Here is a 22,513-nt window from a genome sequence, read left to right as displayed (position 1 = left end):
ATCCACAATTACTTTTTAAAATAGGAAAACTTAACATTTGTATAACACAGGCAAGAGTACTTTCATATCATTCTCATTTGAACTTCACAATTCTAGGGCAAAAATCACCTTTAAATATTCGCTCTCACTTTAGTAACTTTATTGCCAAGTCTTGTTTCTGAGACCTTGCCATTGGAGGCTCCTGCTTTCTGTTCTAATTACAGAAGATAATGCATTTCTTCCCCATACCCTCTCTTGCCTCTGCCTGAAGGCACAGGGTGTGCAGGGGCCCCTTTTTAGCATGTGGCTAGAGACCCGAAGCAACTGAACCCCCAGAACAGATGCTCCCTCATCTCAAGGAAGCAGTGAGCTCTTTGAGGATCTTGAAAACAGATTGAGAGTCTCCAGGGCCTTGATTTTTTTTTTTTTTAATCTACCTCCTCCCTTCCCCTTTAGAAATAAGTCACGTTAAGAGTATTTCTTCACGGCTAACCTTTGCTCTTTTCTTTCCTCCATTCTTTCATGTCCTCTAGGTGTTTGTAGAAGTCTATAATCTGACTGCAGACCCAGACCAGATCACTAACATTGCTAAAACCATAGACCCAGAGCTTTTAGGAAAGATGAACTATCGGTTAATGATGTTACAGTCCTGTTCTGGGCCAACCTGTCGCACTCCAGGGGTTTTTGACCCCGGGTAAGTTTCCTTTCTCTTCATTTACTTGGCCAAGTTTTTTCTAGTAGACATGCTGTTCTTGAAGGCAAAGGGAGCCCTTTTTGCTGTGAGATGATGATTCTTCTGCTTTAGAGGGAATACTGTGTTCTAATTGCATCAGCCCGTTGTGCTGGGAAAATCAAGCTTTTGAAACTTTTGTTCTCCACTGCCAGTTGTTACTTTAGCCAGAGGTACAGCCCTGCTCCCCACCAAACATGGGGCTCTTGTTATTTTCGTGCTGTGATTATTGTCATGGTACCACTTGTTTGCATTGGTGACACTTGGGGCTTCTTTAAGTAAGCTGCGACCCACTGCTGCCCTGTTCACCTGTTCCCTAGAGCTTGCAAGAGTATATGCCTTCATTTCATTTCTCAGAAACCCCTACTACAGAAACTTGAATGTTTGCTGGTGAATTTAATATATTAAACACACAATGAAAATAGAAGGTGTAAACTCAGATGTTGAAATATATAAGCCCATTGCACGATATGGAGGTATAAAGGATGTTTAGCTGTCACCTGCTATGTCAGATTTGTTCCCCACACGGTCCTTCTTAGTAACTTTTCAGCAGTAACACTGGGTGTCAGTACACCATGCATTTGAGCTGCTGGTGGCAGGAACCTTGTCATTTATCTTTTGCTTGAAGATCATGAAGTTTAAAAATCAAACTTTCACTGGGAAAGGAATATTTTAGTTCCTACCTTCAGACTGTAAGAGAGGGAAGAATGATGTCCTAAGTTGATGGAAAGTTATCACTTAATTTTTTAGCCGTCTTTGTATTAAATTTTATCTTTAGTCCAAATTAGAGACAAATGAATGTGAATGAGTAGAAAAACTCGATGATAGACTGTTCATTGTTTGCTTTTAAATAATGTATATAGTGCCAAAGTGGCATGGACACCAGTAAACTAAAGCCAGGTAACAATATAAAAAGATAATATTTATTATTTTATATCACTTAAATGAAATAACTGTTTTTATATGGATAATCCCATTAGTACAATAAGAATGGTCAAGAATTTTGACCATTGGTCTTTCCTTTGGTCTTTCCTCCAAGTTAGTGAAATAGATCCTAGCTTGGTACCAGTTACCTGAAATAGGAAGTCCAGTCCCTAAAATAAAAGCACAAGACTTCCAGTTTACATGTGCTGACTTTGCAATTTCCAACAGTTACTTAGCTCAGAATGTTCTTTTAAACCAAATTAAGTTAGATGTCGATAGCAGTTAATGTTTTTTAACCATGTACTCCCTGGCTGACTCTGGGAACTTAAAGCCAGCATCTGATTAAATCTTAAATGGAGGGTCAAGGGACTGGACCTCTTGGATTATGATGTGTGGCCAAACAGTCCCTGACCATGCCACTGCTAGGACATGGACCTGCCAGGCTGGCATCTGGTTGGCCAATGCAAGGTAGATGGAGCCAGCTGTCTGTTTCTTCTGAACATCTGGCTCTAAGTGTTAGAATTCATAGAATTTCCACACAGCCCTTAGAGCCCAAACAGGTAAATTTCAAATGAGGAAACTGAGCTTGCAGTTGTGATTTGCCCAAGGGTCACCCTATAAGGAAGTGAATACGTTATTTCCTAAGCAAGTTTTGTTTGGTTTTTAACTGCAACAAATTGTCTTCCTCACATTTTAGAAGCTTATAACTAAAGTGCTAGATGCTGGCTTTGCTGATGTTAGCATGAACTACTTAAACTTAACCTGATTTTCTGTTTTAAATTCCTTAGCCCTGATTATTCCTTTCCTATCAAACATTTGGGCCTGTTAGCCTGAACTACTTAAACTTAACCTGATTTTCTGTTTTAAATTCCTTAGCCCTGATTATTCCTTTCCTATCAAACATTTGGGCCTGTTGAGTCCTCCAAAATGGGGTCATCAGACCAGATCCTGTGAGCCCAATCTAGCCCCACCTGCGGGAACACAGCCTCACACATTCGTTTACCTGGTTTTGGCTGCTTGTGTGCTTCAGCAGCAAAGGAGAATGGTTGGGACAGAGACTGTATGGCTCCCATACCCTAAAATATTTATTATCTGGCCCTTTACAAAAAATCTTGGTCAATTGCAGTTCTAAAATGCAGTAGTCCCCCCTTATCCACAGAGGATCTATTCCAGAACCCACAGTGGATGCGTGAAGCCCCAAGGATAGTGCCAGGCCCAGTTGCCATCAGTTGGAAGATGTTTCTGTTCATGTCTTCTACCCACAAATTTTATGCCTTTTCCATCTTAACTAAGCTTTTGTCATGCACTGTGGCCCTAACTTTTGCAGTTTAAGGTGTGGCAGCAAAACTAGAATTCGTTTTTCCTTCTTCATGATTTCACAGATAGAAGATTCATTCCTGGCTGGGCGCGGTGGCTCACATTTGTAATCCCAGCACTTCGGGAGACCAAGGCGGGCAGATCACATGAGCCCAGGAGTTCTAGACCAGCCTGGGCAACATGGTGAAACTCTTGTCTCTACAAAAAAAAAAAAAAAAAAAAAAAATTAGCCAGGTGTGGTGGCGCACGCCAGTGTTCCCAGCTACTCTGGAGGCTTAAGACAGGAGAATCACTTGAGCCGGAGAGGTGGAGGTTGCAGTGAGCTGAAATTGTGCCACTGCACTCCAGCCTGGGCGACAGACTGACTCTGTCCCCCTGCCAGCGCCCCCACCAAAAATGACTCATGTTTATGGTGAGGCTCTTGTAGGTCTTAGCAGTCTTGCTGTATGATTTTTTTCTTTCCTTATTAAGTCAAGAGCGTTCACTTTTTCACTTAAAGGAAGCACTTTATGGCTTCTCTTTGGCATTTCTGAATTGGCAGCACCACTACTCTTGTGGTTTGGAGCCATTGTTAAATAAAATCAGGGTGACTTGAACACAAGCACTGTAATAATGTAACAGTTGATCCACCCCTACTCCCTCAAAAGAAAAAAATCTCAAATCTTGCTGCCTTCTGACACCTTTCAAGACTAACCTACTTGTTTTTCTCCTCTTGACTTGCACTGTGTGACTTTGTGTGTGCTGACTGGTGATAGAAATGTTCGGAACTGTCGAGGGCTCATGTTTTGTACCATAGACTTTCTCACTAGAGTCCCTTCTGGTGATTTGTTTCTTTTACACCCCTTCCTGCTATCCTTTCCACTGAATAATATTCTGAGTGAGAAGCTAGTGAGAGCTAATGTTACATTTGGTTTTTCCTCCCCAGATACAGGTTTGACCCCCGTCTCATGTTCAGCAATCGCGGCAGTGTCAGGACTCGAAGATTTTCCAAACATCTTCTGTAGCGACCTCACACAGCCTCTGCAGATGGATCCCTGCACGCCTCTTTCTGATGAAGTGATTGTAGTAGGTGTCTGTAGCTAGTCTTCAAGACCACACCTGGAAGAGTTTCTGGGCTGGCTTTAAGTCCTGTTTGAAAAAGCAACCCAGTCAGCTGACTTCCTCGTGCAATGTGTTAAACTGTGAACTCTGCCCATGTGTCAGGAGTGGCTGTCTCTGGTCTCTTCCTTTAGCTGACAAGGACACTCCTGAGGTCTTTGTTCTCACTGTATTCTTTTTATCCTGGGGCCACAGTTCTTGATTATTCCTCTTGTGGTTAAAGACTGAATTTGTAAACCCATTCAGATAAATGGCAGTACTTTAGGACACACACAAACACACAGACACACCTTTTGATATGTAAGCTTGACCTAAAGTCAAAGGACCTGTGTAGCATTTCAGATTGAGCACTTCACTATCAAAAATACTAACATCACATGGCTTGAAGAGTAACCATCAGAGCTGAATCATCCAAGTAAGAACAAGTACCATTGTTGATTGATAAGTAGAGATACATTTTTTATGATGTTCATCACAGTGTGGTAAGGTTGCAAATTCAAAACATGTCACCCAAGCTCTGTTCATGTTTTTGTGAATTCTAGGCTGGTGCTGCACTGAAATAGAGCAGTAAGCTTGTGATAAAGGCCAATTCCAGGTAGCTCTTGAAGGTGATAGCCATCTACTTTCCAGTGGCTGCCAACCACAGGGAGTGCCAGTTAACACTGGAAGGATTAAGGCAAGGTCCCTTCTCTTGAGACTCCCCTCTGAGATCTGAAAAATGAAGTGGCTTAGGAACATCAGCAGTGAAGAACTGCCAAGAGTTGGTGAAGGTTGTCTCTTCCGAGGGCCTTCTGAAGACAGGGCTCTTGAACAGACAAGTGGAAGGGCTGTACCAGGGATAAAGGAAAGAAGTGCCTGTCCAGCAGGGAGCTTGAATTTAAGTTCCATGTATGAAGTCATTGGCTCTATCTGCATTTTTCTGTCATTCTCTTCATTTGTTTTAAGGTGGAAAATTTTCTTACAGTTGATGCAAAGTATCAACTACTTTACCCTACCTTCTCCCCTTTTAGATGGGTTCTTCCTGAGTTTTGGAGTCTTGTATGATTATCAGTATTCCCCTGTCAAAATCAAATCTATTCAGGTTTCTTCACTGTTGAGAACACCTAAATGTTTTTATTTTTGAGAAGTGGGGACAGAGTCTCACTATGTCACCCAGGCTGGAGTGCAATGGCATGATCTCAGCTCACTGCAACCTTCGCCTCCTGGGTTCAAGCGATTCTCCTGCCTCCGCCTCCTGAGTAGCTGGGATTATAGGCACGCACCACCACGCCCAGCTAATTTTTTGTATTTTTAGTAGAGACAGAGTTTCACCATGTTGGCCAGGCTGGTCTTGAACTCCTGACCTTGTGATCCACCCACCTCGGCCTCCCAGAGTGCTGGGATTACAGGCATGAGCCACCACGCTTGGCTAAGAACACCTAAATTTTTATGTTTCTTGGCTCAAAAACCAGTTCCATTTCTAATGTTGTCCTCACAAGAAGGCTAATTGGTGGTGAGACAGCAGGGGAGGAGGAAGAGCTGTGGTTTGTAACTTGTTCAACTCAGGCAATAAGCGATTTTAGCTTTATTTAAAGTCTTCTGTCCAGCTTTAAGCACTTTGTAAGACATGGCTGAAAGTAGCTTTTCTATCAGAATTGCAGATAGTCATGTTGGGCTAACAGTCAATTGGATATATTCCTTTACCTCACATGACCCCAGCAACTGTGGTGGTATCTAGAGGTGAAACAGGCAAGTGAAATGGACACCTCTGCTGTGAATGTTTTAGAGAAGGAAATTCAAAAAATGTTGTAACTGAAAGCACTGTTGAATATGGGTATCGGCTTTCTTTTTCACTTTGACTCTTAACATTATCAGTCAACTTCCACATTAATGAAAGTTGACCATAGTTATTTCCAAATAAAAAGAAACCAACTCTTACCAGGTCTTGGACTGTGATGTCATATTATTCAGTTTTATGCTTGTTCCTGAGCAGAACTCATAAGAGTGACATAGTCAGCTGCTGACGGCACCTCAGCCACGCCACTCTTACTCAGTTCAGTGGGTGTGCTTGCGTGGTAGGATGTGGTGCAGCCCTCTCTACGCTCTTCTATTTTTGGTATATTTCCTATCTAACCTTCAAATAGCTTCCAATTCTTTTTTTCTTGGACTGGCTTCATTCTGAATTTGTGCTAAAATAATCTTTCATAAAGAGACCTCAGTTTATAGCGTAACAGACTACACAATGCACTGATGTTTTCATAATGTTTAAGGGACCCACTGCAAGAAGCTTGCTGCCTCCTTTTAATTGTATTCATTTAGATTTTGATTTTCCATGTTAAGAAGGTGAGGTCCATGTTGGTGCCCTTCAGAGTAGAGAACCATGTAAACATTAGGAATGAACAGAGGCCTTAGGAATGAATAGAGAGTTTGCCTTATACAATTTCCTGTTACAAAGCTCTCCCTCTCATGCAAAGTAGGGAACACCTTTTGAGCATCTTTGAATTTGACAAATGGTGCTGTTGCAAACACTTTTTTTTTGAGATGAAGTCTCGCGGTTGTCACCCGGGCTGGAGTGCAGTGGCGTGATCTCGGCTCACTGCAACTTCCACCTCCTGGGTTCCAGCAGTTCTCCTGCCTCAGCCTCCCAAGTAGCTGAGATTACAGGCGCCTGCCACCCCACCTGGCTGATTTTTGTAATTTTAGTAGAGACGGGGTTTCACCATGTTGGCCAGGCTGATTAACTCCTGACCTCAGGTGATCCACCTTTCTCGGCCTCCCAAAGTGCTGGGATTACGGGTGTGAGCCACCGTGCCCGGCCTGCAAACACATTTTAATTGACAACACTAGGGCTGTTGTACAAAATAGTAATGATAGCCATGGAAGTTTTACCTTATTCTGTGAGAAGTGTTCTTAAACTTATTAAGTGTCTAAACTAAGGTTTAGTGCTTTTTTAAAGGAAAGTTGTCCCAGGATTCATCCTAAAGAAAGCAAAAGTTAATTCAACTGATCCACCAATGGAATTAGATGGGTAGAGTTGGGTTCTTGAGTTTTACCACCACTTAGTTCCCACTGAATTTTGTAACTTCCTGTGTTTGCATCCTCTGTTCCTATTCTGCCCTTGCTCTGTGTCATCTCAGTCATTTGACTTAGAAAGTGCCCTTCAAAAGGACCCTGTTCACTGCTGCACTTTTCAATGAATTAAAATTTATTTCTGTTCTAGTGGGAATGTGTCCTTTGTTTTAGTTCACAAGTAGTAATTTTGACAAGATGCTTTCTTCTGATGCAGTTTGTTTTAATCACTCACCTAGTACTGGAAATGGGCTTTCTAGTCAGATCCTATAGTCTCTACCTGTATAGCTCTTACATACATGGCCCCTACTGATAACCCCTGAATGAAGCACCATGTAGAAAATATTTCCTGATAAATCTGTATGTATTTACAGCTTTGGAGAAAAAGTCTTATCTTGGCTGGCTTTCAAACAGACTAGGCTCGCCTTCAAAGGTGCTTTGCCATGTGATCCATTGCTCTAGATGAGGAATGACTTCTTACGGGGTCAACAAACTTCTTATAGGGATAGACGGCCAGTATTTTAGGCTGCCAGGCCATGTGTTCACTGTCACAGCTATTTACCTCTGCTGTTATAACACAAAAGTAGCCATAGAAAATGGATAAGTGTGTGGCTGTGTTCCAATACAATTTTATTTTCAAAAACAAGTAGGTCATAATTTGCCAACCCCAGAGCTTATAGGTTGCCTCATATCTTAGCAATTCTGAAGACCACATAGAAAACAATGCTAGACACTCATAAAATTGCCAGATTACTATCAGAAAAACAGGTGATTTGGGCCAGGGGCAATGGTTCACGCCTTTAATCTCGGCATTTTGAGACCCCAGCAGGAGGATCACTCGAGCTCTGGAGTTGGAAGACCAGCCTGGGCAACATAGCGACATTCTGTCACTATAAAAAATATTTAAATTGTAAAACTGAAAAATAATAGGGGATTTGGATATATCACAATTTTAAGGTCATTTATTAGGGTCTGGGATTTGTACCCTTCTTGCAAGCTAATTAAGTAGGTCTGTTATTTCATGAGACTCCTGGGATAAAGACAAAGGACTGTAGTACAGCACAGCAAGCAGTAAGAGCCTGTCAGTTCACACTTAACACCCAAGTCCTACAGGTATGATGCAAAGGGCCCAGAGGGATGCCTGCACATGCAGTGGGTTTTGTTACAGGAAAAGAACATTAGGCTTGGGGAGGCTTCATCCAGGCTGGAGTGCAGTGGCGCAGTCTTGGCTCACTGCAACCTCCGCCTCCTGAGTTCAAGCAATTCTTGTGCTTCAGCCTCCTGAGTAGCTGGGATTACAGGCACACACCACCACACCTGGCTAATTTTTGTATTTTAGTAAAGACGGGGTTTTGCCATGTTGGCCAGGCTGATCTCAAACTCCTGACCTCAGGTGATCCACCTGCCTCGGCCTCCTAAAGTGCTGGGATTACAGGTGTGAGCCACCACACCCAGCTGAGCCTGCTGTTTGTTTGTTTTATAGCAAGCACTGAGCGAGGCTGCTCTTTGTTCCAGAAGGAGACATTAACTTATCCCTCAAACTGCTCACTACAGACAACCCTGAGGAATGGCCAGCATAAAAAGTGGTCAGCCTGGCCAACATGGTGAAATCTCGTCTCTACTAAAAATACAAAAATTAGCCGGGCGCAGTGATAGGCACCTATAATCCCAGCTACCTGAGAGGCTGAGACAGGAGAATTTCTTGAACCCGGGAGGCGGAGGTTGCAGTGAGCCAAGATTGCACCACTGCACTTCAGCCTGGGTTACAAGAGTGGAACTCTATCTCAAAAAAACGGTCAGGACCTTGTGTTCTTGGCATATCCAGCAAGGAGGTGCAAGGATGCTTGGGGTTCATAGTGGATTGCCTCTCCCAACAGCTGTCAACTGTTCAGTAGCAGGGGATCACCTGGCTGGATGTTTCTTCCCCCTCCAGAAGGGCTAGAATGCTAGATCAGGCCAAGAATAGCAATTGTAGACCTAAATGCTTAAGTGAGATTTTTTTTTTTTACCTGGGACCTAAGGCCAAAAGAAACATGGGAAAGAGAAGTGGGTGCTGGCCTTCCATATTTCAAGACAAGACATCAAGAACTTAAAGTGATGAAAAGGGAAAGGATAACAAGATTAAGCATCGGGTCAGATTTAGTGTTGAGAGCTACCTGGTCTGGCCTTTGTCTAAATACTAGAGAAAGGTGGCAGAGAAAGAAGAGCCCCTGTGATCACTGACCAAATACTAATAGAAACGCAAGATGGTACAGAGCACCCGTAAAGTCACTAAATTACCATCCTAAACATTGGAAATTTGATTACATCACAGTCAAGCCATCAACAAGGAGGAAGAGAATCTTCACTTGCATAGACTCGGAATGAAGATAAATACAGACTCCATTAGATCCTTTTTTTTTTTAACTTATCCCAGCTATTCCCACTGAAACTGGTGCCTGCCCTGTAGAACCAAATTCCCTACAGAAGTAGTGTTTGTTTCATCTTCCTCTACCACCAGTGGATTTATTTTTATTTTTTGAGACAGGGTCTCGCTCTGTTGCCCAGGCTCGATGCAGTGGCCCTATGTTGGCACACCACAACCTCTGTCTCCCAGGCTCAACTGATCCTCCCATCTCAGCCTCCCAAGTAGCTGAGACTAAAGGCACACACCACCATGCCCAGCTAATTTTTGTATTTCTAATAGAGACGGGGTTTTGCCATGTTGCCCAGGCTGGTCTTGAACGCCTGGGCTCAAGAGAGCCATCTGCCTTGGCCTCCCAAAGTGCTGGGATAATGGGCATGAACCACTGCACCCAGCCACCACCAGTGGATATAAAGGGCTGGTAATATGTATACACGAAAGTCTGTTGAGGCAAGAGCTGACAACCAGAGAACCCAAAGGATACAAGCTAAAAGCATCGTGCTGAGATCTCTATTGATGGCCTAGAATCACTGAATAAGACAAGATTTAGATGTGGGACATGGGAGCTAGCTCCTGGAGTATGGTAGAGTAGATGACAGTTCTAAATCTTTTTTTTTTTTTTTTTTTTTTTTTTGAGATGGAGTCTTGCTCTGTCGCCCAGGCTGGATTGCAATGGCGCAATCTCGGCTCACTGCAACCTCCGCCTCCCGGGTTCAAGCGATTCTCCTGCCTCAGCCTCCCGAATAGCTGAGATTACAGGCGCCTGCCACCACACCAGGCTAATTTTTGTATTTTTAGTAGAGACGGGGTTTCACCATGTTGGCCAGGATGGTCTCCGACTCTTGACCTCGTGATCTGCCTGCCTCGGCCTCCCAAAGTGCTGGGATTACAGGCGTGAGCCACCGCGCCCAGCCTTAACAATTCTAAATCTTAGTCTTTGAGAGGAAGATTTCATGATCACCTGCTGGTGAGACTGATATCCATATATGTCATCATAACCTGCACCTCTAACTGATGATGATAGGTTCTCAAAGGATAGAGAGATATAAAGATGCTTGTAATTATCATTTTAGGAGGATAAAACAGCTCCATAAGATAGATTTATTTCCCTCAGCTTAATTTATCGAAACTCACAAAGCTAATTCGTCAAAGAAGAGTCAGAATTTCAAAGATGTGGTTTTAAAGCCATCTTTCCATTAACTCTGCTGTCACCATGATCTGTGAGGCTGTGTCCCCACCTCATTATATATGTGAGTGCCTACTCTGCCTGGTGGTGAGCTTAGTTACAAAAGGGAATTATTCTATTCCTCCAGGACATTACTATGTAGACTGAAAAGAGAACTCGTCTCTCATACCTGTACTTACAGGGAAACTATGGTTTCAGACTAAGAGGAGAAGGTGCCACTGCCATTCAAGTGTCTTCTTGTCCTGCACTATAGCCTTGCTGTCAGAAAACAAGTAAAAAGAGGGCTCCTCTCTGTATGCCTCATTTAACTGTTTCCAGCATGGCTGTGGTAGCCAGCCTCCAAGATGGCGCCTAATTATCCTTGTGCAGTTTCCTCCCACAATGCATCAGGGTTGGTCCATGTGACCAGTAGAATAGGGCACCTGTGATGCTGTGTGACTTCCACAACTAGGTCCTAAAAGACATGGCCACTTCTGCCTTGCTCTCTCTTGGATAACTCTCGGAGAAAACTATTGCCATATCAATGACACCAAAGTAGATCTTTGGTAAGGTCCACATGGTGAGGATCTGAGGCTTCTTGAAAACAACCAGCCCCAACTTGCCAGGCATGTGAGAGAGCCACCTTGGAAGCAGATCCTCCAAGCCCCAGTCAAGACTTCAGATGACTGCAGCCCTAGCCATCATCTTAACTGCAGCCTCGTGAGAGACCAAGCAAGGACCATCAAGCTAAGCTGCTACTAGACTCCTGACCCACAGAATATAACAACATGATCTAAAAAATGGTTTTTGTTTTTTGTTGTTTTTTTTTGAGATGGAGTTTCGCTCTTGTTGGCCAGGCCGGAGTGCAATGGCACGATCTCGGCTCAGGACAACCTCTGCCTCCCAGGTTCAAGCAATCCTCCTGCCTCAGCCTCCTGAGTAGCTGGGATTACAGGCATGCACCACCACGCCTGGCTAATTTTGTATTTTTAGTAGATACGGGGTTTCTCCATGTCGAGGCTGGTCTTGAACTCCTGACATCAGGTGATCTGCCCTCCTCGGCCTCCCAAAGTCCTGGGATTACAGGCGTGAGCCACTGCGCCCAGCCTAAAAAATGTTTAATGCTGTTGTAAGCTGCTGGTTTGGGGGTAACTTGATATGCAGCAATATATAACTAATATAATGACCGAAGCTGGTTTACTGAGAGAAACTGGGCCAGCCTTTTGCCAAATCTATTAGGCGGGTGCAAAAGTTTTGCCAATGACAAAAAACCGCGATTACTTTTGCACCCACTGCACCCAACTGTAGGTACCTGTAGTGAAACCGTGCCCCAAAAAGTTAAAGAAAAATGACTAAATTCTTGGACTTACAGGATAGCAGATAAGAAAAGAACTTGCTAAAAAACTAAAACTGGCTGGGCATGGTGGCTCATGCCTGTAATACCAGCACTTTGGGAGGCCAAGGCAGGTGGATCACCTGAGGTCAGGAGTTCGAGACCAGCCTGGGCAACATGGTGAAACCCCCGTCTCTACTAAAAATACAAAAATTAGCTGGGCGTGGTGGCAGGTACCTGTAATCCCAGCTACTCAGGAGGCTGAGGCAAGAGAATCACTTGAACCCAGGAGGTGGAGGTTGTAGTGAGCCAAGATCGCACCACTGCACTCCAGCCTGGGCAACAAGAGTGAAACTCCATCTCAAAAAAATAAATAAATAAAAATAAAAAGCTAAAATTAAAATTGTGCCCTCAAAGGATTAAAAAACAGTAACAAAAATTCTTGAATTTACAGGATAGCAGATTTTAAAAGAAAACTAGCTAACTAGATTTTGCATAGAACGAGTCTGCTGACGTCACAGCCTGAATTTCCACTGCATATTTCACATGAACTCCCCAAATTTGCACCTTTGACCCATGAGTTTGCATAAAGAAATAACTACATGCACCCAAGGACTTTCCAGACTTCCCTTTTCCTTCCACCAAGCACCTGCTAATCCCAGTATCCACCCCCAAACTCCTTTATTTTTTTGTAGAGATGGGGCTCTATGTTTTGGGGGTTTTGCAGGGGCAGTTTGAGACATGGGCTTGCTATGTTGCCTAGACTGGAGTACAGTGTTGTGATCATGGCTCACCGCAGCCTCAACCACCCAGCCTCAAGCAATCCTCCTGCCTTAGCCTCCCGAGTAGCTGGGACACAGGCACATGGCACCACACCCAGCTAATTCTTTGTAGAAATGGAATGGGATCTCACTATGTTTCCCATGCTGTTCTTGAACTCCTGGCCTCAAGTGATCCTCCCACCTCAGTCTCCCAAAGTGCTGGGATTACAGGCATGAGCCATGGTGCCTGGCCTAAATCTTTTTTTTTCTTTTTTTTGGAGACAGGGTTTCAGTCTGTCACCTAGGCTGGAGTGCAATGGCACCTGTGCTCAAATGATCCTCTTGCCTCAGCCTCCCAAGCAGCTGGGACTACAGGCATGCTACAGGCATGCTCCAGCATGCCTGTCTAATCTTTTCTAATAAAATTACTGCCTGCCTTAAAGACAGCACAGGGAGAAATATTTGAGCTTGACACTCCTATCTCCTTGTGAGTCGACTTATATATAATATAAAGCTTTTCTCAAAAACAACAAAAAACCCAGTGTCGTGGTATCAGCTTCCGGTGCATCGAGCAGTGAGCCCTTTTTACTACAGGGTAGAGCAGAGCTGTCCAGCGGTAGAGGCTCAGATTGTCTCCAAAGTGGGGGAAAATATGTACATTACATACTGAAATAATAGAAATAAGCACTGGTTCCTAGCTATTGTTACTAAAACCAAATGGAAGCTTCTTTGTTGGAATGGTTGCTAAAATGTTCTCAGCACATGTTGGAAAATATTTTAATGGACTCTTGGCTGGAAGGCTCCAGTCATGAGTCCAAAGTCTTCTCTCTAGTGGGTCTCTGTAACTTCCAAAAGCTGGTGCGAGGGAGAGTTGCAGCTTGGGAGAGTGGCCCCTCAGCAGCTGCAGCACGCCAAGATTCTGGCTGGGTTTCCGAGGCACCTGTTGTCCAAATCAAGACCATCAGTCACTTCTCCCTTCCTCCTCCCAACGATGGGAAAGTAGCTCAGATGCACAATTGATTCTGTTCCCACTTAAGTCCCTAAGAAAGGGGCTGCTTCGTGTACATTTTCTCCCAGTCCCTTTTACCCAGCGTCTCCCAGATTAAGTGAGCAGCACACTAATTAGGCCTGAGATCAACATGACAACTCGGGTTCTTTCCAGCAGTCTGGTGCAAGTGACTATTCACTTTGTCATCTATCAGGGCAGGCTTCAGCCTAAAGCTCAATGCCCATCAATGCTCCCACAGAGGATGAAGCCCATGATGCCACGTCTGGTCCTCTGCACAGCAGGGGATAACAACACTCTGGCCTGCAATCATCCTGGCCCCTCTCCTTCTTCCTGTAATGCCAACGAAGGTCCTGTTTAAGAGTTCAGCCAAAGGTGAACACTGGCTGGATGAGGAGCAGCAGGAAGCTGCAGCTCCGGGTCTCTCTGTAGAGGGCTACCTTCCTGTCTCAAAGCTGCCCAACTAGCTGTTTCCAGACATGTCTATGAAATGTTTAGTCCCACAAATGCTGTGCCCTGCAGCTAGGAGAGATGCAAAGTGAACTGAAGATATGGTCCAGTCTCCAAGGAGATTACTATCTAGGGGAGAATTTACATGCATAAAAACATGGACTAGAAACAAAGGTCAAGGCCCCCGACTGCACCGACACACAGCCGTCTGGTTTGGATCATGCAACACCACTCTGTGCCTTATGTTGATATGAAAACCTGGGCATCCCCAGTCTCAGCTGCTCTGAGCATTTGGACTCTATCTTGTCAAGGAAGAAAGAACACTTTGTGACTGTATTTTTAGGGAGCACAAGGCAAGGCACTAAACAATCTGGCCTACCAATCACCCTAAGAATCTTGAATGTTTTGCTTTTAACTCTATTTCCTTCCCTTAGCATGAATTTTTATTTTATCTTATTTTATTTTTTGAGATGGAGTTTCGCTCTTGTTGCCCAGGCTGGAGTCCAATGGCGCAATCTTGGCTCACTGCAACCTCCGCCTTCCAGGTTCAAGCGATTCTCCTGCCTCAGCTTCCCGAGTAGCTGGGATTACAGGTGCTCACCACCACGCCCAGCTAATTTTTGTATTTTTTTTAGTAGAGATGGGGTTTCACTATGTTGGCCAGGCTGGTCTCAAACTCCTGACCTCAGGCGATCCACCCACCTTGGCCTCCCAAAGTGCTGGGATTACAGGTGTGAGCCACCACGCCCGGCCATGAATTTTTAAAAGAAAACAAAACCCTTTCTGCTTGGAAAAATGTCCATCTTGGAAATTGGCACCTAGGATGCCTCTAGAATGAGAGATAAGCATCTATCATTGGCCCAGAATTGAAACAGCCACATTATTGTAGGAACAAATAGTTGGAAAATAATACCATCTCACGCTATACCAGGAATTACAATGCACAAGATACTTGCACATTCCCAATTTGGTCCTCACAGCAGCCCTGTGAGGTAGGCAAACAAGTGATATCCTCTCCATTTTACAAGGGGAAAAAATATGTTTGAGCCAGAGCAATTGCCACTGTAAATTTTTCTGGGGGGAGGGCGGCGGGGACAGAGTCCTACTCTGTCGCCCAGGCTGGAGTGCAGTGATGCGATCTCAGCTCACAGCAACCTCCATCTCCCTGGTTCAAGCAATTCTCCTGCCTCAGTCTCCCAAGTAGCTGAGAGTTGGGCGCCACCATGCCCAGCTAGGTGCATGTTGGCCAGGCTGGTCTAGAACTCCTGACCTCAGGTGATCCTCCCGCCTCAGCCTCCCAAAGTGCTGGGATTACAGGCGGGAGCCACCGCGCCTGGCCTGCCATTGTTAATTTTAACTCCACCCTTGCCAAAGATGAACTCTTAACATGAGGAGAATTATTTAGGCCTAAAGTTCTTTGCTTATAATATTATAGGTTGGTACAAAAGTAATTGAGGTTTTTGCCATGGGGAGGCGGCGAACCGGCAAGAGTAATCCCGATAAAACACACTGTCAAAAAGAAAGACCTCAGACACCAGTCCCCACCATGCAGAACATGTTCATGTAAGTTATTCTTCTAGGTAACCCCTCCTCCTCCTCCTCAAGATCTCAGCTCTAAATCACTTTCTCAAGGACGCCTTCTCTGTCCTCCTGTTATACACTCATAGTACACTGAATTTTATCTCTATGACACTTAACAGTTTACACTACACATGGACTCTGATTTTCATAACAGAGTTCATGATGTTCTCACTCATCATAATCTACCCAGTTCTAGGGGGTGGGTCATGGGACCAGGCAGTGCGGACTTGAAAAATAAAAAATAAAAACAGGCCAGGTGTGGTGGCTCATGCCTGTAATCCCAGTACTTTGGGAGGCCGAGGTGGGCAGATCACCTGAGGTCGGGAGTTCGAGATCAGCCTGACCAACATGGAGAAACCCCCGTCTCTACTAAAAATACAAAATTAGCCAGGCGTGGTGATGTATGCCTGTAATCCCAGCTACTTGGGAGGCTGAGACAGGAGAATCACTTGAAAGCAGGAGGCGGAGGTTGCAGTGAGCCGAGATGGTGCCATTGCACTCCAGCCTGGGCAAAAAGAGCGAAACTCCATCTCAATTAAAAAATAAATAGGCCGGGATGGTGCCTCACACCTGTAATCCCAGCATTTTGGGAGGCCGAGGCGGGCAGATCACAAGGTCAGGAGATCGAGACCATCCTAGCTAACATAGTGAAACCCTGTCTCTACTAAAAAAATACAAAAAAATTAGCTGGGCGTGGTGGCGGGCGCCTGTAGTCCCAGCTACTCAGGAGGCTGAGGCAGGAGAATGGCATAAACCCAGGAGGCAGAGCTTGCAGTGAGCCAAGATTGTGTCACTGCACTCCAGCCTGGGCGACAGAGCAAGACTCCATCTCAAAAAAAAAAAAAAAAAAGAGTACAGATATCACAGGATACAAGGACATTAAATAAGATAGAAAGGAGGGAGGGAAAGAGGGAAAGAAGAGACCACATGTAGACCCGACTGTGTTTCCAATAATGTGGAAGCTTAAATGTTAGGTTAGAATATTATAGATCATATGCATTAAAGCTTCATACTGCAGACACTTGTAAACAGTAAATTCCTGAAAGACCTATGAAGTTGGTTGCAGCAGCAATATCAGCACTTGTCATTTGGCAAGCTTCTTTGAAGCTAGCCAATAGATAATAGAGGTCACTATATACATACATATATATATGTATGTATACATACATATATATATGTATGTATACATACATATATATATGTATGTATACATACATATATATATATATGTAGAGAGAGAGAACAGAATAAGAGTAACAAGAGTAATTTTTTTTTTTTTTTTTTTTTTGAGAGGGAGTCCCACTCTGTCACCCAGGCTGGAGTACAGTGACAAAATCTCGGCTCACTGCAACCTCTGCCTCCTAGGTTCAAGAGATTCTCCTGTCTCAGTCTCCCAAGTAGCTGGCCACAAGTTTCGCTATGGCCGGCACGGTGGCTCATGCATGTAATCCCAGCACTTTGGGAGGCCGAGGCGAGCAGATCACCTGAGGCCAGGAGTTTGAGACCAGGCTGGCCAACATGGCGAAACGCCATCCCTACTAAAAAAAAAAAAAAAATCTGCCAGGTGTGGTGGTGGGCACCTGTAATCTCAGCTAATTGGGAGGGTAAGGCCCAAGAATCACTTGAACCCGGGAGGTGGAGGCTGCAGTGAGCCAAGATCATGCCACTGCACACCAGCCTGGGCAACAGAGCGAGACTCTGTCTCTAAATAAATAAATAAATAAATAAATAAATAAATAAATAAAATTTTGAGAAAATCTAGTTGATCAATGGCCTTTCAACAGAGGTCTAAGATCCAATTAGCCATGGTCCAGGGGAACAGGGTATATAGAATTGTCCTTTCCAGGGCTAAGTGAGGCAGGTCAGAAAGCCTCTTTGCAGGCTAGTCATTACTCTCAATTTGGAAGTAATTTATTTAAAATTTCAAAACAAGGGGTATGAGGGAAATACTCTGTGCACAATGATGTATCCCTTCAGCCCCAGAAACCCTCTGTAGAGCTCTAGGATTTGCAGTCAGCATTTGAAAAAATAGGGGGCACTTATTAAAATGGCAGATTCTCAGGGGCCAGTACCAGAGATTCAGATTAAGTAGCTTCAGAGTCAATGAACAGAAAAATCTGCCTTTAAAAAATCAGCCTGGGCAGTGGCTTACACCTATAATCCTAGTGTCTTGAGAGGTCAAGACAGAAAGATCATGAGGCCAGGATTTCGAGACCAGCCTGGGCAACATAGCCAGACCTCATCTCTACAAAAAAATTAAAAAATTTGCTGGGCATGGTGGCATGCCCCTCTAGTCCCAGCTACTTGGGAGGCTGAGGTGGGATGATTGCTTGAGCCTAGAAACTAGAGGCTTCAGTGAGCTATGATCATGCTACTGTGTAACAGAGCAAGACCTACCTCGAAAAAACAAAATTCAGCACCTTCCACAGTTCCGAAGGCAGTCTGTGAAGAAATAGTGTGGTAACCTCATTTTGTCTTGAAATATCTTCCGAAAGATCCTAAACGTTGCCTTTTCCTAACTACCACCTTCATAACAAATAACTTTCCATGATAAAGGGGACATTATTTCTGGCCTCCCCAACACCACTACACCCTTAAAGCCCACTTCCTTCCCCAGCACACACAAACTCCTATACAAACTGTATCTAGATAAAGGCGATAGAACTGGAAGTTTTCTGATGGCTGGGCACAGTGGCTCACCTCTGTAATCGCAGCACTTTGGGAGGCCGAGGCGGGTGGATCACCTGAAGTTAGCAGTTCAAGACCAGCCTGGCCAACATGGTGAAACCCTGTCTCTACTAAAAATACAAAAATTAGCTGGGCGTGGTGGTGGGTGCCTGTAATCCCAGCTACTTGGGAGGTTGAGTCAGGAGAATCGCTTGAACTTGGGAGGCGCAGGCTGCAGTGAGCCAAGACCGAGCCACTGCACTCCAGCCTGGGCGCAAGAGTGAGACTCTGTCTCAGAAAAAAAAAAAAAAAGAACTGGAAGTTTTCTGAAAGCTGGTCTTTTTGTTCCTCAGTTTCTATGGTTGGCCTTACCTGCTCAGTCAAGCATCTTTTATTAATAAGGCCTCGAAATACTCAATCTGACCTAAACAAAATTGACTATGAATGTTTTCCTTGCAAAGATCACATATGCAAGAAAAATGTTTGAAATGTTCACCATCTTTAAAAGAATCTGAAGACACCATTTATAGTTCTGAGTAAAAGGTTTGAATTTAAGCTGTTGCCTCCCTGCCTGCAACAGCAGTAATTCAAGAATTCTAAGTTTTGGCAAGGCACTAAAGTTTGCTGCTTCAGAATTTTTAGAATTTAAACAAATTTTATTGCACCTGTAAATGGAAAAACCCTGTAGAGCAGAGCCTCCCTAGAAAGCCACTTCAGAGACAGGAACCACAGAGGGCTTAATGAATCCCACGTGTCCACAAAGCGTGGCTCAACAGCCGGCAGTACATATGCCAGCAAACACAAACCAGATAGATGCCCTTAATGACCCAGGCCCATTGTAATCGGAACTCCTCGTTTAGAAAGAGAAAAAAATGAACTCTCCTGATTGAAATAACTCCCTCCCCAAAACAAAGTCAAATCCCAATTTCTTTTGAGGTTTACAAAGAGCCCTGATGTTTTGTTGTTTGTGCGTAAATAATACTTAAAGGTGCTCACATTTCTCAGAAACAAGAAGAAGAGAGGAGCTTTCAGAGTTCACTTGATGCCAAATGCAGCCTCAGCCAGACACGTGAGAACCACAATCATCCTTTGGAAACACTATTTAAGATCAAAGGGGTCTATCCTGTACCCTGCTATTCTCATCTCCTGGAATAGGGAAAGACTTGTCAAAAAACAAAACAAAATGAAACCAAAACCAACAGGCAAAAAAACCCCAAAAGACAAAAAACAAAAACCCAAACCCAGATCCAAGCCTGAAGATGGAATAAATGATTTAGCTTCAGAGTTGTTGGTATATAACCCAGCTAGTCCCCACTCCCTCCTATTCCAGCCTTCACCACACCTGCCCCCCCACCTTTATCCTTATATAAAACTTCTTTCTTGAACATTCAATTAAGCAAGTAGTGATTCACACCACACAAGCATATGCTTTAGACTTTGAATACTTACCTCCTAGTTTCTCTCTGCAGAGGATGAGCCTTGTTTGGGGGAATGGTTCCATGAGTCAAACCTTTGCACAAGTTTTGTGGCTCCTATAGCACTCTGTAGTACTGAAGCTGTTCTTCTGGTGGTTCCAGGAGAATTGTCTTACCAACTACAGTGAGACCACTAAGTTTGGTTACCTGCCGTGTTATTTCCCCCATGCAACAGAACCTCTAAATGAAAATACAGGTCTGGGCTGGGCATGGTGGTTGTAATCCCAGCCCTTTAGGAGGCCAAAGCAGGAGGATCACTTAAGCCCAGGAGTTTGAGACCAGCGTGGGTAATATAGCCTGACTCCATCTTTACAAAAATGAAAAAAAATTAGCTGGATGTGGTGGCAGGCACCTGTTGTCCCAGCTACTTGAGAGGCTGAGATGGGAGGATCTCTTAAGCCCAGGAGGTTAAGGCTGCAGTGAGCCGTAATCACGCCACTACATTCCAGCCTGGATGACAAGGTGAAACCCCATCCGAAAAAATAAAAAGAAAGCACAGGTCAGCATTTCATTCTATGTGACTTAGTATAATCACCTGAATGAAATGATAAATGAACCAAAATGGATGAGAACACACTGATATCAACAAACCCCAATGGCACCAAAACAGTTACGCTTCTGGGCAAACTGTCCATTACGGCAATTTAACAGACTTTTGCTCCTTTACTCAATAGGCAATTTAACTGAGAAACTAGAGAGCACTTACAGGAAAAGATGGTAGAGAAACGGGGCAGTGTCCGGCTCTGCCACTCACTCACACAGTGGCCTTGAGCAAGCTGCTAAACCTCAACATGTCCATTTCCACATTTGTGAAAAAAGGGATATGACGAAATAGTGTGATAACGTCACAGGAGAGTCAATGAGTTGATACATATTAAGCATTTCAGAAGAATGCCTAGCACATGGTAAGCACTTTGTTGGCATTGGCTACTATAGTGTAGACCTTCACCACCACCCTTTTTTTTTTTTTTTTTTTTTTTGAGATAGAGTCTTGCTCTGTTGCCCAGGCTGGAGTACAGTGGCGCAATCATGGCTCACTGCAGTACTCACGGCTCACTGGAGTACAGTGGCGCAATCACGGGGCTTGAACCCCGCCTCCCGGGTTCAAGCAATTCTCCTGCCTCAGCCTCTTGAGTAGCTGAGACAGCAGTCGTGTGCCACCACGCCTGGCTAATTTTTATATTTTTAGCAGAGAAGAGGTTTTGCCATGTTGGCCAACCTGGTCTTGAACTCCTGGCCTCAAGAGATCAGCCCGCCTTGGCCTCCCAGAGTGCTGGGATTACAGGCATGAGCCACTGTGCCTGGCCCCTTTTCTTTTTTTTTTTTTTTGAGACGGAGTTTCACTTTGTCGCCCAGGCTAAGTGCAATGGGGCGATCTCGGCTCACTGCAACCTCCGCCTCCCTGGCTCAAGCAATTCTCCTGCCTCAGCCTCCTGAGTAGCTGGGATTACAGGTGTGCGCCACCACGCCCAGCTAATTTTTGTATTTTTAGTAGAAACGGGGTTTCACCATGTTTGGTCAGGCTGGTCTCAAACTCCTGACCTCATGATCTGCCCACCTCGGCCTCCCAAAATGCTGGGATTACAGGCATGAGCCACCGCGCCCAGCCCCCTTCTTTCAATAAAACAAAATACCTAATTAGCGTTATCTGACAGTGTCTCCGAATTTGTCACCAACTGATAACTGTTGTTTCAATAAATATTCATGTGAGCCAGGCACGGTGGCTCACACCTGTAATCCCAGCACTCTGGGAGGCCAAGGCCGGCAGATTACCTGAGGTCAGGAGTTTGAGACCACCTTGGCCAACAGGGTGAAACCCCGTCTTTACTAAAAATACAAAAATTAGCCAGGTGTGGTGGCACACGCCTGTAATCCCATCTACTCCAGAGGCTGAGGCAGGACAATTGCTTGAACCTAGGAGGTAGAGGTTGCAGTGAGCCCAGATCGTGCCACTGCACTCCAGCCTGGGAGACAGAGTGAAACTCTATCTCAAAAAAAAAGGTTTTTTTTTAGTAATAAAAATTGACTTAAAAAAAAAAGTCCTACCTGTAATCCCAGCACTTTGGGAGGCTGAGGTGTGTTGGTCACTTGAGGTCAGGAGTTTGAGACCAGCCTAGCCAACGTGGAGAAACCCCGTCGCTACTAAAAATACAAAAAAAAAAATTAGTCGGGTATGGTGGCAGGCACCTGTAATCCCAGCTACTAGGGAGGCTGAGGCAGGAGAATCGCTTGAACCTGGGAGGTGGAGGTTACAGTGAGCCAAGATCATGCCACTGCACTCTAGCCTGGGTGGCACATTGAGACTCCATCTCCAAAAAAAATAAAGGATAAAAATATAAAAATTCCCAAACATTCTCCACGCACCTTGGGTAGTAACCCAAGTAGAACCCCCAAACCTGATTCCTCTGAATATTTCAGTAGAAAAGCAAAATTATACAGAGCCATAATTTTCTATCACAGTATTTTTATTTAGGGAGCAGCTATGGTACGTGAAAGGCCTCTACCACCTGGTGCCAGCCTTGCTCCTTTCATCAGCCCCTCCAGGGGGCAGTGTAGTAGTAAAAACACTCCCAAC

General features: G+C 44.5%; 1 protein-coding gene across 1 annotated transcript in view; it reads left to right on the top strand.

Annotated features, from left to right (window-relative positions):
- The window catches only part of GNS (glucosamine (N-acetyl)-6-sulfatase), a 45,958-nt gene extending 38,712 nt beyond the window's left edge, over positions 1–7,246 (top strand). Inside the window, exons 13-14 of the mRNA NM_002076.4 lie at positions 513–673; positions 3,876–7,246. Of these exons, the coding sequence (NP_002067.1) occupies positions 513–673; positions 3,876–3,954 (240 nt within the window). The 3' untranslated portion in view covers positions 3,955–7,246. The remainder of the gene's footprint in view (positions 1–512; positions 674–3,875) is intronic.

The sequence above is a fragment of the Homo sapiens genome, chromosome 12 (assembly GCF_000001405.40).
Source record: "Homo sapiens chromosome 12, GRCh38.p14 Primary Assembly".
NCBI lineage: Eukaryota > Metazoa > Chordata > Mammalia > Primates > Hominidae > Homo > Homo sapiens.
Note: the sequence above shows the minus strand (reverse complement) of the source record. Positions and strands in the feature narration are given on the sequence as shown.